Here is a 16,960-nt window from a genome sequence, read left to right as displayed (position 1 = left end):
AACATAAGCATTCTTTGGTCAAATACATTCCAAAAATGCTTCTTAAAATATCTATCTCTTGGTGCTACATGGTGTATTAAACCAGTTCAGCTGTGTTTAACCTGGTCCTATCCTCTCCTTCTGTTAAGTAAAGCCAACTAATGTTCTTTGCAACTACTGTTCCATAAACCATACATTGGAAAAACACTGGCCTTAGTGATTTTGGATTCTATTATTCTGGCGTTCTATTATTTTATAACTGTTTTGGGTAGATGGATTTTAAATATATGTAGGAGGAAAAAATTGCCTGGGGATATGGTGTTAAGGGAGAAATAATACAGTTATCTGTGTTAATTTTCATTAAGCCCTCATTTAAATCCTACAAGTCAGCCTCATCAGAAAATGAGTCCCACAAGCAATTGAGGGTCATTAGGAGATGGCACATCATGTTCTGAAGGATTCCCTTTCAGCCTCAGCGTTAATAAGCTTTCCAGCAGGCTTGAGCCTGGGCTACCAGCTTTCCCAGGTGGATTCAGTTGAGGGAATGAAAAACAGGTGAGAGAATGAATAACAACGATGAGCAGGTTTTCTCAGAGTGCCCCAAGTGGGCTGCAAGGATTATCCAAGGAATTTGTACATTTTGGTGAAAGAAGACAAGACCCTGTGGGAAATGTGGCTTTCCAGTGACTCAAATGTCAGGTGATGTGATTGGTATTTGGGTAAATGAGGGTCAAGACTCACACATAGTCAGTAGAGGCAGCTGGGGTAGGCAGGAGATACATCGGGCAGGACCGTGGTAGAAGCCTTGTGCTGGGGGTGGGGCGGGGGCCTGGTTGAGTAGTTGTACCTCTCTGGGGCTCAGCTCAGCTTTTTGCCTGTAGGAAAAGAGGCCTAAACTGGAGGAATTCCAGTTTCTTTCCAGCTCTGAGCATGTGTGATATTATCAGTGGAAGTGTTCCAGATGATCTTCCCAGGTCAAGATGTGGTCCAGGGGTTTGCCATGTATCTTAGCTTTCCACGCTGAGGAACTTTGTTTACATACTTAAAACGCTTGCTTCTTGGGGAAAAAAAAGTTCAGTTTCTATGATTTTAGCATCAATGAGGCTAAGAAGAAAGCGAGCCTGCTTGGAAGCATAGGACAATGCAGGGTCAGTGCTGGGAGTGACATCGTCTATTGCGTTTCAGCCTCTCACCCAGCACATCTGAACCACTCACTGGTATCATATACAATTTCAGAAACTCTTCAAGGTGATTCTCACTTAAGCTACCCACCCAGAAGAGAATCATTGATCTGGCCCATCATGTTATTTTACAGAGTAGGGAACTGACTTCTAAGGGAGGAACATGGCTAGTGCCTTCGAAGGGCCCATCCACCTTAGGAGCCTGGGGCTTGTTTCTGAGCATACAGCTGGTTAGATGGGTCGGGTCAAAGGCAATGCCTGTAAGGGAGGAATTCTAAGAGAGAGGAAGAGAATTGCTTTCTGGGCTGTGGGTCAAGCACTGCATGCATACCTCAGCAGATGCAAACTGCATTTGGTGTGAATGTGTTCGTTACTCCGAATGGATTGCATGGTCATAAGCTCTCAATTCTCTTTCTGCTCCCTTCACTCCAGGACCTGCCTCTTACCAGTTACTCAGCAGCAGCCTGGCATGGAGGGAGGGGACAAGAAAGATGGAGAATGTTTTGGTTTTTAAAGTCCTATAATTTGGTCATTAGCAGGTGGAATGACCAGTCTGAGCATTGCTCTCTTATGGGCTCTGTCATCTCCACTTAGCAGTGTGTGTGTGTGTGTGTGTGTGTGTGTGTCTGTGTGTGTGTGTGTGTGAGAGAGACTGCTGGGCTGGCAGCAGGGCATGTGCTGGGATTCTGGAGGGCTGGGAGGCCTTGAGTTTGGCTTGTTTTCCCTCTGGGCAGGAGGGTGGAAGACATTGGTGGGGGGCGGCTTGTCTCCCACACTCCTCCTGAACCTATCTCCCCCATCTCCCACAGCCCCAGGATGTATACCTAAGCAACTTCTGCCGACTGCTAGGGGTGGAGCACAGTCAGATGGAGCACTGGCTGTGTCATCGCAAGCTGGTCACCACCTCGGAGACCTACGTCAAGACCATGTCCCTGCAGCAGGTGATCAATGCGCGCAACGCCCTGGCGAAGCACATCTATGCCCAGTTGTTCGGCTGGATTGTGGAGCACATCAACAAGGCCCTGCACACCTCCCTCAAGCAGCACTCCTTCATCGGGGTCCTGGACATCTATGGGTAGGCCTGCCGCCTGTCTCGCTCTATCTGCTACCTGGGAGTGGCTTCCTGCTCATACTTTACAGCCAGCAGGGGCATTGGAGAGCTTCCTGGTGGTTCTCAACTTAGGGCAGTTTAAAATGTGTGGGGCCATTTTTAGTTGATTAGTTGACACAATGATGGGGCCTGAGGCCAGGGAGGCTTAGTGGTCTATAATGTAAGGGAACAGTCCCCAAGCAAGAATGGACCTGTCAAAACACCAGGAGTTTCCCAATGAGAAACCCTGTAAGCGTCAGTTTTTACACCTGAGAAAGTGAGGCCAAGAGAGGGAAATGACCTGCCCAATGTGATTTTGCAAGTTACTGTGAGAAATGGAACTTAAATTCAAGTTCTGTATCTCAGTAATGTTTTATTTCAATCTACCATTTGACCTCATTGACTGTAACAGTCAAGGTGGCTATTTTAGTACCATAATTTTGTCCAGGGCTGTGCAGATTTGTGTTGTGTGTGGTCATTCCTGAGGTTTCTCTTCCTTTCAGAATTCCAGCCTGATTGAAAGGACTGTTATTTATAACTTTATTTTTGGCAGGGAGAGCCACCGTGGTGTGGTGAAAGTGTACTTGCCTAGCCATCGGGAGACTGTCACCAACCAGCTGAGTGAATCTCCACAGATAGCAGACCCTCTCTGGTCTTTCATTTCATAGCTTCAAATGAGGTTTTGAGCCACAGTCTCCCTGAGGTTCTTTCTAGGTCCTTGTTTGAAGTTAACACGAACTGGGTTGCAACCTACCTTGCACTTCTTTTCTGACCAATGTCCTGTCCTCTTTAAGCTAACAATAGACTAAATCCTCCTGGATCTTTAAATTATAGAAGTCATGGCATCTTAAAATAGAAATTCAGATCCATAGAAGTGAAGCGTCGTAAGAACAGTGACACTCTAGTGCGAACAACTGCTTAGCAGGCTAGAACTCACCCGGTACTCACCTTATGATGAGGTTGGAATAAAGGCCAGTCCCCTGTAGAAGTGGCCACTTCCCCACGTGGCATGCGGAGACAGGCTCTCCTGATTACATCTCTGATGCTGTTGCTCATCCCTGGGTTTCAAATTGAACTATGTTGCATGCTATGGAGAAAGAAGACAATCTTTGTGATTTCTGACATCACAAAGGCCTCAGGAAGATGCTGAAGGAGTTGTCTCATGCACGAGTTAAGTGACATAAGAGGCATCAGAAGAAATTGTGGAAGGGTCTATTTGAGGGTTTGGATGCTTCGTGCTGTACAAGTTTCAAGGCTGGAGAGGACACGCTTGCACAGTTGGGCAAGCTTTATGTGGGAGCTAAGATTTGAACTGGATCATATGAACAGGGGAAGAATATGGAAAGTGAGGGAGGCATCTTTGGGAACAGGAGTGCAACCAAGATATGAGGAAGGAGCAGAGTGTGAAGGCAAACCTCCTTGCTGATAAGGAGCACACAGTGGAGAATCACCGAGAGTGGGAGGTGAGAAGAGGCATCCTCCCCAGGCCTTCAGTTGCATGACCCCAGGCAGGCCCCTTCTCCTCTGGTCCATCGAGTGCTTGCCTTGTGCTCAGCCCTTGTAGTTGCTCTTGGGAGAGCATAGAACAGTGTGCTCTCTGGGAACTTCCAGTCTCATTGTCAATCATTAATTATGTGTTGATCTCTCTACTTTGAGTATTTTCAGGTAATTGGATATCCCAAAATACTGACCTTTCGGTATTACCTTCCAAGTAAGACCTGGGGAAACCCAAGCTGACCCAATTCCCTTAATCCACTTGTAGAAGGATATAATTTTACTGAGGTTTTGATTTAGGAAGATTAACATGCAGACTTGTCAATAGCATGTAAAAATTTTATGATTTCCTTACTACTGCTACATAAAATACCATGCCTCAGTTCTGTTGTATTTCTATATCATCTTAACAGTGCCTTGAATTTAAAGAGTCTGCTTTCTCCTTCCCTGTGATCTTCCGCTGGGTTTTTTGCTGTTCTTAGGAGGCCTCCGTGAGCTGGGCTCGTGGGGCTGCTGAGTCCACAGATGTCAGCCCGGTTTGTGCAAGCTGGGATTTTGTGTTTATATTTGCCATTTAATTTTTGTAATTGTTTGTTTTCTCTAACATCCTGTGACTGCCTAAAGGGGAGAAATAGATCGCAAGGATGGCTTGTCTGGTTTGAAAACAATAGTTTTCCATGGATGGGGTGGCAACCTGGAGGACTTGGTCTCCTGTTCCTAGTGCCAGCTCCTCACCTGTGTCTCCTTCATCTCAGAGTGGCTTCCGGGCTCCTTTGAGACTATCTGACAGCTCTTCCATGAGGGCAGGGTCCCGATACAGGGCCATCAGCATAAGGCCATTCTTGGGAATTTTCCTACCCTTTGTGCTTTCTTCCGGGCATGCTATGTTGTTTTTTTCTTAATCTTCATTCTTTCTCAGAAACCAATTCACTTTTTTTGTTATAAAGTTGTCATATTTTAAAAGTGACTCTTCTTCTTGAGACAAATAAGTCCCATGCACAGTTACTCCTCTGTAGCTCAATGCAGTGCTGAGTTCACACTCTCTCTGAGTTAAGGATAACAAGTTAGATACAAGGGAATTCAGAGTGAACAAGCTAGCTGTGTGCCTGGGCCATTGGTTGCCAAGAAAGCACTTACATACATGCCCTAAATATGGAAGTGCATGCTACTCAATGGTCTGATTCACCAAGAAATTTTACAAATGTGGACTGGCCCAGGCTGTCTTTCTGGTGAGAGGGTATGTAATGAACTCTTAGGAGAACTCTTAGGAGATTAAAATCAACAAATTAACGGAAGAGCAGGTGGCTTGAGTCTGGAGGTACTTTCTAATCTATCAGGTCAGTGATATCATTTCTTAATCTGGGAGAAAACAACACAGAACCCTGGGTGGAAACTTGGGATAGCATGTGTGAGCCGTTTACTGTCATCTGCCCCTTTCCACTTACAGTGTCTTATCTGCCTTATTTCCTTTGGACTTCACATACCTTCCAGAAACCCACCAAACCTGCCTTTTTTGTTTTTTAATGTGGTCATTTCTTGGTTACCTGGAAGTGGGCATCACACTCAGCCCCACTTCTCGCCCTCTCTACTCACCTCCTTCCCAGTTCAAACTCATTCCAGTCATTAGGCTTTATTCTATTCATGACTATGGGAAGTGATTCTAAGGAGTTTTTCATCCTCTGTGGCATAAGAAAACCCAAGCGTTGTTTAGTTTTTGAGTTTTCTATTCATATCCCTGGCCATCAAACCCTGGAGGAGAAGACCATCTGTCCATTGTCTCACTCCTTCTTAGTGGGGGTGTGGGGATGCCTGAGTACCCATAGAGGATGCCCTGGGGCTGACCTGATGTCTTTGATTTTCTCACTTCTCCTTGTCTCTTTTGAGCAAGAGTGGCAAAAGTGGAGTCCAGAGAGAACAGAAAGAATACTGGGATGAGTTTCTGAATACAGCCAGCCACATCCGGGAAGTGGAAAAGAACGAGACATTGCCTCCCTCTCAGGTTGGAAATGGGCAAAGCTAGGAAACGAGGGTGGAACTGCTGCTTCTTCCCCTTGACCCCACCAGTGGCCACTGATTTCTTCCACTGGGATAACTGTCCCCGGATGAGCTGCAGTGCCTATCTAGGGCATTCCTGGCCCGCCAGTGAAGCTCATTCATGAACCGAAATAATTCTGTACCAAACATGAGCCACTCCACTTTTTCCTATAAATGTGTTAAATGTTACCACAGAACTCACAGCCAGAGTGAATACACACTCACTTCTTTCTATAAGCAAGCAGTACACACGCCAGCATCGTATACACACATTTCTCCCCATCACTGTGTTCTGACTCATAGTTAGCTTGTAGAGGAGAAAGGCTGTGGGCTTCTAAACAAATTAGCATGGGCCACAGCTGCTTCCACCATGACTGTGGTGAGTGCTCTGCTCAGAGGCCCTTCCCCAAGGCTTTTCTGAATGGTTCCAGACCCCCAGTGTCTGGTGGAAGCTTCCCTACATCTTGCTCCTCTGTCCCAGCTCCACAAAAAGTGCAAAGCAAGCAGTACTCAGAACAATTTAGTCACCCCAAGCTGAGCTCTTCACCTTAACCAAGGATCTGTGAAGTCGCCTTCAGGGTATTTTTGACCAGGCAGGGTATGGAAATTAATAGGGGAGATCCTGGCAGCTTTTGGCTGGGATTCCCTTTCCAGGTTGCATTAACCTGCATTTGCCTCTCTAGGCCTGATTAATTGCAGTCTGTAATCCTTTATACCTCTCCTCCCCTTGAGTCTCTAATCCTTTGTTCCTATCCTCTCTTTGAGGCAACAAGAAATAAACGGCTTCAATTTGGGAAAAATACACATTTACTTGTCTTTGATTTCAGCCTTCAAGATGCCAAGGTAGCAGAGGGCTTTGGCTATGGCCAGCCCATTCTTGCGGAGGACAGTTGGCCTGGGAGCAACACAGGCTGTAACAGATTCATGTGTTCTGCTGAGGAACAGCTGGGGAGAGAATGGGGTAGAAGGTGGGGAAGTTTTGACCCCAGGAAGCAGGACATAGGATTTCCTGGGATTTTATATCCTCATCAGTCCTCTGTTACTTTCTTGTGGTACTTCCTAATAATAAATTAGCATCCAACTCTATTCGGTGCTCTTTAATGGTATGTTTAAAAATGCCTTTAAGGCCGGGCGCGGTGGCTCATGCCTATAATCCCAGCACTGTGTTGTTAACGGTGGAGGGTGTCCAGGTTCTTGGCGTCTTGAACAAAGAATTGGACAAAACGCACAAAGCAAGGAAGGAATGAAGGGATTTATTGAAAATGAAAGTACACGCCACAGTGTGGGAGCAGGCGGAATGTGTTTTACATATTCATTTACAAGTTGTTACATATTCTGGTTATTAATCTTTTATCAGAAATATGATTTGCAAATATTTCCTCACGTTCTGTAGGTTGACTACAATGATATATTTTAAGTAAACTTCTTAGACCCACTGTTCACCTTTGTTTGGTGGGGAAAAAATATTCTTTTGCTTTAGTTTTCTTGGTCTCGCTCTCCAAAATAAACATAAATAACCTCAAAGCTGCAATAATTATTTGGAGGCTACCCATCTCTTCTCTAGCCAGTATCGAAAGGTTTCACAGAAAATGGAGGGGGAGAAATCAGGAATTGCATTAACCCTTCAGCCTGTGACAGTGTCTCAGCCCTGGACAGCCCAGAAGATCCCTGGACATGCCTTCTTCAGGGAGGACATGCATGGCTAGCCACAGTGTTCTCAAACCTTGCAGATCATCGGAAGCTGTTGGCTTCACCCTGGAGTCTCCCAGCCTCCTAGGAAAGCCTCATAGCTCAAGAGGGCTCTAAAGCCAGGCTCCACCTTCCCGAATTGTTCTGAGGTGGCCCTTTGGAGTGTGCCTGGAGCCTGACACCACTGTGTGCTTCCAAGGCTCAGATGAAGTTCCATGTTCTCTCTGTCCATGCCAGTACTCCCACACTATGTGGCAGTCCAGGTCTCACTAACGCAGGCCTCTATAGCAACTGTTTCAGTACTGAGTGAGTGGTTAAGTTAAATATTAAAAGCTAAAAAAGTCAGTGCCCTCATACAAAGGCTGGAATGTAACAAGAGCCCACCAAGAGTCTTGCCTAGGCCCTTCCTGGGCCTTAAAGCATGACAAAATAAGGAATGAATTCTTAACAGGACCCGTTTAAGATTAAACAAGTTTTATTGTGGGTCTGAAGAAACTCCCCAGGCCTCTAGAAACAAGTTTATTGGGGGGCCTGAAGGAACTCCCCAAACCTCCGTGATTTAGCAGGAGACAAGATAAGGGTAATCACCCCAGCACCCGGACCCATTTAGATTAAGTAAATTTACTGAGGCTCCAGAGGAAAGTCTTCAAGACTCAGATCTTAGTTATAGATTAGAAGTTAATCACTTATGTCTTTGGATGAATGCACACTTACATGTAGACATACAGCTTAGAAGGTATATAAGCTCTGAAAAACTTTGTAATTTTGAGTTGGGCTGGCGATAATTTCCAGGCCTTCTCCCTGTAACTGGTTGCAGAAAGTAAAAACTCTTTTCCTCCCCAGCTCATCTGCATCTTGTTATTGGGCCACGAGAATAAGCAGCCCGACCCTCAGTTTGGTTTGGGAACACTATGGCCTCATTGTCTTTTAAAAGCCTACAACACATACAATTTCTATTCCTTGGGGAGGCTCTCATGTACTAGTTTCCTGTCATCTGCCCAGTAGCTCTTCTGGGCAGGGACTGTGACTTGCTCATCTTTACAGCCTTCATAGTTTGGGACAGTTGGCTGTTAGGTTGGGAGAGGATCGCCATACAGTGGATGTTTTCCTGTCCTGCATTGGAGTTTCAGGCCTGAAGACGAGCTGGGAATTGGAGCATTTGGCAAACTGAGTGGATTTAGGTCCTCAAGAAGAATAACTGACCTTCGCCTTGGGGTGTGAACAGTGCCTGGGATTGTGTTCTGTCTAAAAAAACTAGTCCTGGGTGGGGGCATCTAGGCACAGAGAAGCACCTGAGCGGAATGCAGGCCCCACCATTCCAAGGTACAGCCAGCATCCCGAGGTTGTTCAGTAAAGAGATCAGAAGGGTTGGCCTCTCTGACAGACCCAGGGTGGCCTTGTGAGATTTTATAGGCTTCAAGATGGAAAGGGACCTTGAAAGGATGTCTGGATCATTTCTCTGACCTCAATGCATGATGGCCCTGCTTTTAAAGGCTTCTCCAGGGAGAATTTCTCCATGTTATATTTTCTGTGTGACTTCTAATAATCATTCCCTGGAAGCTATCGTCTGTATCTAATCTGTAGTCCATCTTTTCAGTCTACCAAAGGCAGAATGCTGGAGAGTGAGCTTTATAAATTGGAAAGACCAGGCTGAGCTAGGAGATTTTAGTTCCTTTGACCTGTGCCAGGGGAACGTAGAGTTTCCCAATCTTCAAAGCATCTCACTGCCTCTCTGTTCTCTCTCCAGGTCATGGAGTGAGAGATTCAAGGAGGTTGATCATTAACTTAGTGACTAATTGACTTTTTATTGCAGTTTCACTTTCCAACGGACACTACCTTATTTGTAGAGGCATCTGTGTCCCTTACTACACTCTGAAGTTAAGGTAGAATGAGAAGGAAATTGTATACTTTTCGACTATGAAAATAGAAATGGAAACAGTGTGATCATTGTGCCATCGAGAGACCAGATGCCACATTTCAGCATCGATTCTTACTCTATGTTTTGACCTTCCTCCGGCCCAAGGATTCTGGTTTAAATATTTTCAACACTGATTTTACAAGAGAAATTCAGTTCTCTTTAGCATATAAATTTCTTTGTGACACTTTAATGTTGTGAACTATAAATTGATTCATTGTGTTTATTTTAAAAAGTCTTCTCTGTTGATGGGAGGAATTACTATAAATATAATTCCATTGTAAAGGAAAAGTTACCCAATCTCCCCAACTGTGGCTTTCTGAGGTCTGTCATTTTAGATGTTTCCCCAAGCTGCCCGAGCCCCTCATTCATTTCTGGGCCTCCGGCATTTAAGTAATTATGCTAGATGGCACAGGAATTGTTACCAGATAATATCTTAGAAATAGGAAAATTACAAGCTAATTTCAGTCCATCTCAAATTAATGAGAATGTTCTTTGTGGAGTGCTACCAGTGTAAACCTTTAGAAAATGACAAGTCTGAGATATTTAAATCCTCTGTGGAGCTTAGCACAGCTCTGCCAGCACACCCAATTGCTATTATCTGGCCAATTGCTGGGGTGGCTCTTTTATCTCCCACCTAGGTTTTATTAATTCAATTTCCTCTGGGGCTTGGCTGCCATCAGCAGCTTCTCTCAGGGTGGAGGATCGGGGAAGGCAGTAAGGTTCTAAGGGACATAGCTCAGTCTTTAAGACTATCATCTGGGCTGGAAGGGCCCCAATTCAAGGCAGTGACTGGCAGACACAGTGCTTCTCCTGCTTGGTCTGGAGTGCACAGGGGTGGCCTCCTTCATCCCAGCATACACTTTACATCTTTGATCTTGTTTTTTCAACCTAGAATTATTTCTCACACGTGGGCATGGCCAAAGGCTGTGCTTTAATGTGGTTTGTCTCCAAGCAGTTGACTCATTTAATCTCTAAATGATTTCCTACTCCTCCTGATGGGGGAGGTGAGCACCAGGGTGGGAGAAGCCTGATGTATTCTGGGCACCGGCCCGGCCCCTTTGGGTATCTGATGCCTCTATCTGTGGTGTTCCCTCTGCACAGGTGCTATCTCTCCACCACCACCATCCTCAGCCCCCATCAGGGCCAGCTGCAACATTTCTCTCTGGGGTGGTACTGAGGGACTATGCTCTATTTGGAAGGGCTTGCATGACACTTTGTATGTATGACACTGAGAAAATTTAGTTGTACTGAAGAATGGAAAGGGTAGAGACATGGAGTGGGCTGAATGGAGCCTGTGTCCATCGCTATTACCTCGTTGGTATTACTGGCCCTTTCCCATTCACTATGAGCTCAAATACCTCCTTCTAGGACATCATCCTCCATATTCACAGCCCTTCCACCTCATCTGTTTTTCCTTTTTCATGAAACTTCTCCTCCTCTCTGAATTAAGACTGTGGTCTCAGAAATCAGACTGTCTGGGTTCACACACTGCCTCTGCCTACCGACTCTCTGGCCTTGGGCAGCACAGCTTATTCAGTCTCCCTGCCCATCAGTTTCTTCAGCCACAGGATGGGATTAATAATAAGGCCTAACTCTTGGCTGCTGGAGGCATTACTCAGAACTTGTGGAGCACTTGGGCTTAGTGTTCTGTGGGCTCTCATTAGTGGGGCCACTGCCGTCCATTTGGTGCATTGGGCAGTATAGAATGAGAAGAGGTGTGTGTGTGTGTGTGTGTGTGTGTGTGAAAAGAAGTGTGTTTGTATGAAAAGAAGTGTGTGTGAATGAGAAGAGATGGAAAATGTCCATCTCTTCTTCATAGGCTTCTGCCCTTCTCACCCCTCAGCCTGATGCTGCTGTGGAGCATATAAGGTGGGCTGCAAGCATTTGTAGCTAAAGCTGCCAATGTGTGTATAATGTTGCCGGCATGGTGAGTGTGACCACATCCATCCTGTTGCCTGGGTCTTATCTGCACATCCAGTTGGTCATTTGAGGCCCTCTCATCCACATCTTCCTTCATGCCCAGAACCTTTCTATTGGTTGGCCACCAGCAGTGTACGTCAGGCCCTGACTGGATCTTTCTGGCTTCCTACTGTAGTAAGAACTACCTTGCTCACCTTCGTGCCTCCAGGCTTGCACACTCTCCCCCGGCTCACAGTTGTTCTCCTGCCGGTCTCTAAGGTGCAGGTCAGGTTGTCAGTTCTTAACTTGACATCCTTCGGAATCTCTCTGCTGCTGCCTGGTAAATTCCAGACCCCTTGGCGTAGCCAGCATGGCCTGAGGGAGGACCCCTGCCTCTGCCCACTACGCTGCATATCATGACCCCCATCCTCCCCTCTAACGGTTCCACCTTCCCCTGCCCAAAGATTGGGCCATATTGCACACATTGGAGTTAAGCAATGAATGATAGTGTTGATATTCTAAGATACAAAGCGCTCAGGTAAGTCCATTTTTAAAGTTAAAATCCAACAAAATTGACCAAGCATCAGACAATTCACGAAGTACAATGACTAGTACAGTCAGACAGAAAAATGTTGAGCTGTAGTAATGATAAGTTAAAATTCAGACTTTTTATGTTCCAAGGAACCAAAGACTTTAAAAAGCTAACATTACACAGTTGACCAAAGAGCTGTGATACACTACCATTCCCAGACTCCCAGTAAAGAGGGGCAGGACCAGATGGGGAGAACACTGGAGGCTGACCCGAATGGAGCATGGGGAAATTTTCCAGGTGATGAAAATGTCCTCCATCTGTGTTTGCATATTCACAGAACATCTCGATATAAAAATTCTCTATCAAAAATGCATCACCCATCAACAGAAGTTGAGAAAAAAAAATTTAAGAAAAATGCATGAAAATATACACTTAAAATTGGTGTATTTTACTGTGTGTAAAGGCTAACTCAATAAAGATGATTAAAACAAAATATTGTTAACCAGTATTAGAAGAACAAGACACTTTCGTACATTGTGAGGCTGGAGGTGGGGTCATAACAAACATTAGTTCCACCTTTCCAGGAGTTAATTTACTTCTACCTTTTAAGAAAAGTGGTACTGTTTGACATGGTAATTTCTTTAGGTTAGCATCCTAAGGAAAGAATTATGAATTCAAAGAATTTGTCACAAAACTAATAGCAGCTAACAACTGAGAAAAGAACCAAAATGTCCTCACTGGGGGTGTGGTTAAATGATGATGCATCTCTGTGGGGGCCACTGCCAGCTCATGGGCACCTGTGTTAATTAAGTAAAGGTGTCCCCTCTGGATGGAACACACCCCTCTGGGGCTTGCGAGGGGGCTGACTGAATTTCAGCACCACCTGTCCCCTCACCTGGACACCATTGCACTTCCCAGGTCTAGACCACGGCCCTGATCTATACAGTGGTTGATGAGACAGATGTTAAAACTGATGCCTTCAGAACAGTGGTGTGGGGAAGTGTTTTCAATGGAATGTTAAATGATGATAATAGAAGGTAAGGCCAGGTGTGGTGGCTCATGCCTGTAGTCCCAGCACTGTGGGAGGCTGAGGTGGATGGATCACTTGAGCCCAGGAGTTCGAGACCAGCTTGGACAACATGGCAAAACCTTGTCTCTACAAAAAAGTAGAAAAATTAGCTCGGCATGGTGGCGTGTGCCTGCAGTCCCAGCTACTCGGGAGGCTGACTGAGGTGGGAGGATCCCTTGAGACTGGGAGACAGAGGTTGCAGTGAGCCAAGATTGCGCCTCTGCACTCCAGCCTGGGTGACAGAGTCAGACCATGTCTCAAAATAAATAAATAAATAAATAAATTAATTAATTAATTAAATTAAATAAGTAAAATGTTACATAGTTCTGACTTTTTTCAAAAATGCAAAATTCCTAAAAGGAAACCCACCAAGATATAACTGGTGGTCAATATGAATGATAGAATCATTGCTGACTTTCTTTTTTAAACTTTCTTTTCCAAAATTTTCCTGCTGTCATTACTTTTTCTAGTTTTGAAAATAGACATGTTCTTCAATTAGGCTCTGTGTAGTGCTAACTTCTGCAACAGTGGTCTCTCTGAACACAAGATGAGACAATGGGGATTCTGTAGTGGCATCGGGGGAGACCTGGGTCAGAGCAGCTTTGTTGAAGTCCCAGTGATTCCTTTGTTGAAAGGAGACGTCTCTTATCTTCTCTTTCCATTCTGTAGGTTTGAGACATTTGAGGTAAACAGCTTTGAGCAGTTCTGTATCAACTATGCAAATGAAAAGCTCCAGCAGCAGTTCAACTCGGTAGGCTTGGTTTCTAGACCTGGGGGTACCAGGATTGGGGGGACTCCTCTGGGAGGGACAGACAGGCCACTTCTCTTCCTCTGAGGTGGGTGGGCCCTGGCTACGTTCTGATATCCCTTGGTTTTCCTGGTGGTACCTCCAGCTTTCGGAAGGGGCTCTCCACTGCTCAGGAGGGAGAACTGAATGGGGGCAACTGTGCTGAGAGGGGAAATGATCTTCTCTTTGGCTTTGACTCCCATTCCTTGAGCGTAGGTGTTAGGGTATTTAAGCAACAGCAAGCCAGATATGGGGCTTCCTGTGATTGAATGGGAATACGGCAACTCAGGTGATTGTTAAAGTGCCCCCAGGAAGTGTTCACCCAGGCATGAGGAATCGCCTAACTGTGCTTTGCTTTTCTGCAGTCATAACTATGACTTAGCATCCAAACCTTATCTGGCAGTTCTCTGCTGTCCTCCAGAACCCAGAACTCACTGAGCCCCTGGGGGAGGTGAATGTTAAGGTGTGCCTGCAGTTCACTCGTGTGACCTTTTTACTTGCCCTAGCATGTTTTCAAACTGGAGCAAGAAGAATACATGAAGGAACAGATCCCTTGGACCCTGATTGATTTTTATGATAACCAACCTTGTATCGACCTCATTGAAGCCAAGCTGGGTATCTTGGACCTGTTGGATGAAGAATGTAAGGTAAAACTGATGATGCAAATTAGTTCAATTCTAGGGTAGGGATGTGATACAAGGAAATCACATAAGATCTCAAAGGTGGAATTTCATCTGTGATCAGCTGGCCTTCAGTGTGCTGGAAGAAGCGTTGGCAGGCTGCATACTAGAAGCATGTACCATTCTGTGTGCTAGAAGGCAACATGTTTAAAGTGACTGGCAGGTGTTGCTACACTGGTAAACGTATGCCTCTCTTGGGGGAGCCTGGGTGGCACGGGTTGGCATAATATGGTGGTTTGGACTTGATGTCCCAGGTGACCTAGGTGCCAAGAGAAGAACTGCAACATCTAATGGGCATCCCTAGAGAGTGAAGACTAAAGTCTGGGATTGCTAATGCCACGTCAGATGGCTTGTGAGTGATAGAGTTGCATGGCATGGTGGCAGGTGAAATTCATAATTTCCCCATCTGGTTTCTGAGGGGCTGTACCTGGTGGGATGGGGTGAGTGCTGACTTGTCAGCCTGGAGAGTGCCTGGCAGCATTGGGAGGGTAAGGTTTAGAGGATCTGGGTTTTATCAATTACCTAACTTCTTTAGCCTCTGGTTTCCTGCTCGATGATAGGGGTTCATCTAATCTGCAAAATCTCTCCCAGTGGAGTGGTTGATTGCTAAAAGGGGTAAATATATACCAGTTCCTCCAGGGATGGAAACACTAATCAACAGGTATAAAAGCCACATGATTCTTGCTATTGCAAGGGAAAGAACCCACTTGCTTTTACTTTCTGCTCTCCCACATCTTGCCTGTAAAGGCTTAAGTGTGGCTTGATGGTTTGGTAGGAAGTGTTTCCTTTCAGAAGGGCTCTCCTAGTTTTGTTGCCTTTGAAAATGAAAGGGAAACAGTAGAAGACAGAGAAAAATATACCAGTTCTACAGCTTGCATATTTTTTTTTAACCTCCTGAAGGTTTTTAGCATTTCACTAGAGATGTGGGCTTCATCCCGAGAATCGGTATCCAAGCAGAGATAATCTCTCAGTGTAGCAAGTGTTTGTCCAGGCTTGCCTAACCTGAGGGGTAGCAGTAAAGGTAAAACAATTGTCCCTAGATTGAGTAGCATTGGCTAAATGGCTGAAGTCACAGCCTAGGCCATCCTGCTGTTCATGATTCACTTTTATTTTCTTGGTTTCAGCATCCACTACTACCACCTCCCTTCCCAAACTCAGCCAAGGTCATGCTCCTTTTCCCCAGTCTCTTTTGAGATTCCCATCAGTAACCGTCTCCTCCAGCTCCATACCCCCGAAGCTAAAGGCAGCGCCATGTCTTGTGTCCAACCCAGGCCTCTGGGATGCTAAGCTGGTGTGGCTCCCTGGGGCCAGTACTCAAGGAGGACCCTGGCTTTTCACTCTCCTCCCAAGTGGTGAAGGTGAAGGTCGTATACAGTTCTCAGGGCACATGGAGTAGGCAGTTTGTCCTACACAGGTTTGTGGAAAGCCTGGGTTTCCTGCCAATCAGGCTGGTGGGGGCTAGACATGTCAAGACATTGGGTGGTACTGTGGATGTGACACGTGTAAACTCACACTGGTGGCCAAGAAGATGAGTTGAACACCACATTAGGGAATAAGACAAAAGTCCACAATGTGGAGACTTTTTGTAACAGGTTTAATTGTTCTGGAAATTCAGGATGATTTAGCATAGTCTGATAGAGCATCAGTAACAGGTGGATTTTAAGCCAACAGGTGTTATTACATTTGTCAAAACTCACTGAACTGTATGCTTCAGTGAAAGGGTGCATTTTACTGCATGGAAATTATTCTGCAATGAACCTGACTTTAAAACATAGTAGGGCCTGGAAGCACCCATGTCTCTGAGCCTGAGGAGGTTAGGGAATCCCCCTGGGTTTGCCGTGGCTGGGCAACGCGGTGCTCCTTGGGAAGGATCCTGTTGGGCTGTGGAAGCAGCCTCAGACACGTCCTTTCTTCCCTGTCTCTCAGATACTTTGCAGGGTGAGAGTGAATAATACATTGCACTGTGAACAGTTGAGTTCTGTGACCCCATGAGACAGGACATAAAGTCAGATGAAGGATTGGACTCATGGTGCAGAAGCAGCCTGTGGGAAAATCACTTTTCTTGGGGAAGCTGTGCAGTGGCAGGCAGGGTAGTGAGCTGGGGTTTAGATAAGAAGTGTGGAGATGGGGTGGCTGTGAGTTTAAAGGGGGAGTGTGCAGGGAGCACTCCCCAGGGCCTGTGACTGGTGCCACAGCTGCAGAGGAGAGTGCAGACTGGACCAGGGTATTTATTAAACCACCTGAGGTGGAAAAGCCCCTTTGCAGACAGGCCCCAAACAAGCCACAGACTAAAATTGTTCCTCCGTTACCCAAGCCCACTCCTCCAAGAAGGTGTTTGAGTGTCAGCAATGTTAATTTCCAGGCTGCTCGTAACAAGACTCTCCAAAGATGTCTGGTGGCGGGTGGGGAGTAGGTGCCCACCAGCCCCTGCTGCCTTCTAAGCCCTATTTGGGTTGGGATTTCCTAATATCCTCTTCCCATTCATCAGTCCACTTTCTCTCAGAGGAACAGGCAACCTTGAACCCTGGAAGCAATTCTAGTAAGTGAAGCCCAGGCGCTGTATCAAGTTGGAGGTGTTGGAGCAATCAACGGCAGGTCTGAGTGGGGC

The 16,960-nt window shown here is 45.9% G+C and overlaps 1 protein-coding gene and 1 long non-coding RNA gene across 2 annotated transcripts in view, besides 2 other annotated features; both read left to right on the top strand.

Moving 5' to 3' along the window:
• The window catches only part of MYO5B (myosin VB), a 372,359-nt gene that overhangs the window by 218,563 nt on the left and 136,836 nt on the right, over window positions 1-16,960 (top strand). Inside the window, exons 10-12 of the mRNA NM_001080467.3 lie at window positions 1,970-2,235; window positions 13,555-13,636; window positions 14,179-14,319. Coding sequence (NP_001073936.1) covers window positions 1,970-2,235; window positions 13,555-13,636; window positions 14,179-14,319 — 489 coding nt within the window. The remainder of the gene's footprint in view (window positions 1-1,969; window positions 2,236-13,554; window positions 13,637-14,178; window positions 14,320-16,960) is intronic.
• Window positions 1,557-2,056: an enhancer, noted in NCBI's record as "H3K4me1 hESC enhancer chr18:47500899-47501398 (GRCh37/hg19 assembly coordinates)". NCBI's record gives its function as "activates a minimal SCP1, AML or CMV promoter by ChIP-STARR-seq in primed H9 embryonic stem cells {active_cell/tissue: H9 hESC(primed)}" and the evidence as "EXISTENCE:reporter gene assay evidence [ECO:0000049][PMID:30033119]".
• Window positions 2,057-2,558: an enhancer, noted in NCBI's record as "H3K4me1 hESC enhancer chr18:47500397-47500898 (GRCh37/hg19 assembly coordinates)". NCBI's record gives its function as "activates a minimal SCP1, AML or CMV promoter by ChIP-STARR-seq in primed H9 embryonic stem cells {active_cell/tissue: H9 hESC(primed)}" and the evidence as "EXISTENCE:reporter gene assay evidence [ECO:0000049][PMID:30033119]".
• Window positions 2,247-6,864, top strand: LOC124904299 (uncharacterized). The gene is made up of 2 exons (XR_007066365.1): window positions 2,247-5,743; window positions 6,606-6,864. It is a non-coding gene; the product is annotated as an uncharacterized LOC124904299 (long non-coding RNA).

Source organism: Homo sapiens, chromosome 18, assembly GCF_000001405.40.
Source record: "Homo sapiens chromosome 18, GRCh38.p14 Primary Assembly".
In the NCBI taxonomy this organism is placed as follows: domain Eukaryota; kingdom Metazoa; phylum Chordata; class Mammalia; order Primates; family Hominidae; genus Homo; species Homo sapiens.
The sequence above is the reverse complement of the archived record's forward strand: the minus strand, read 5'-3'. Positions and strand labels throughout refer to the sequence as shown.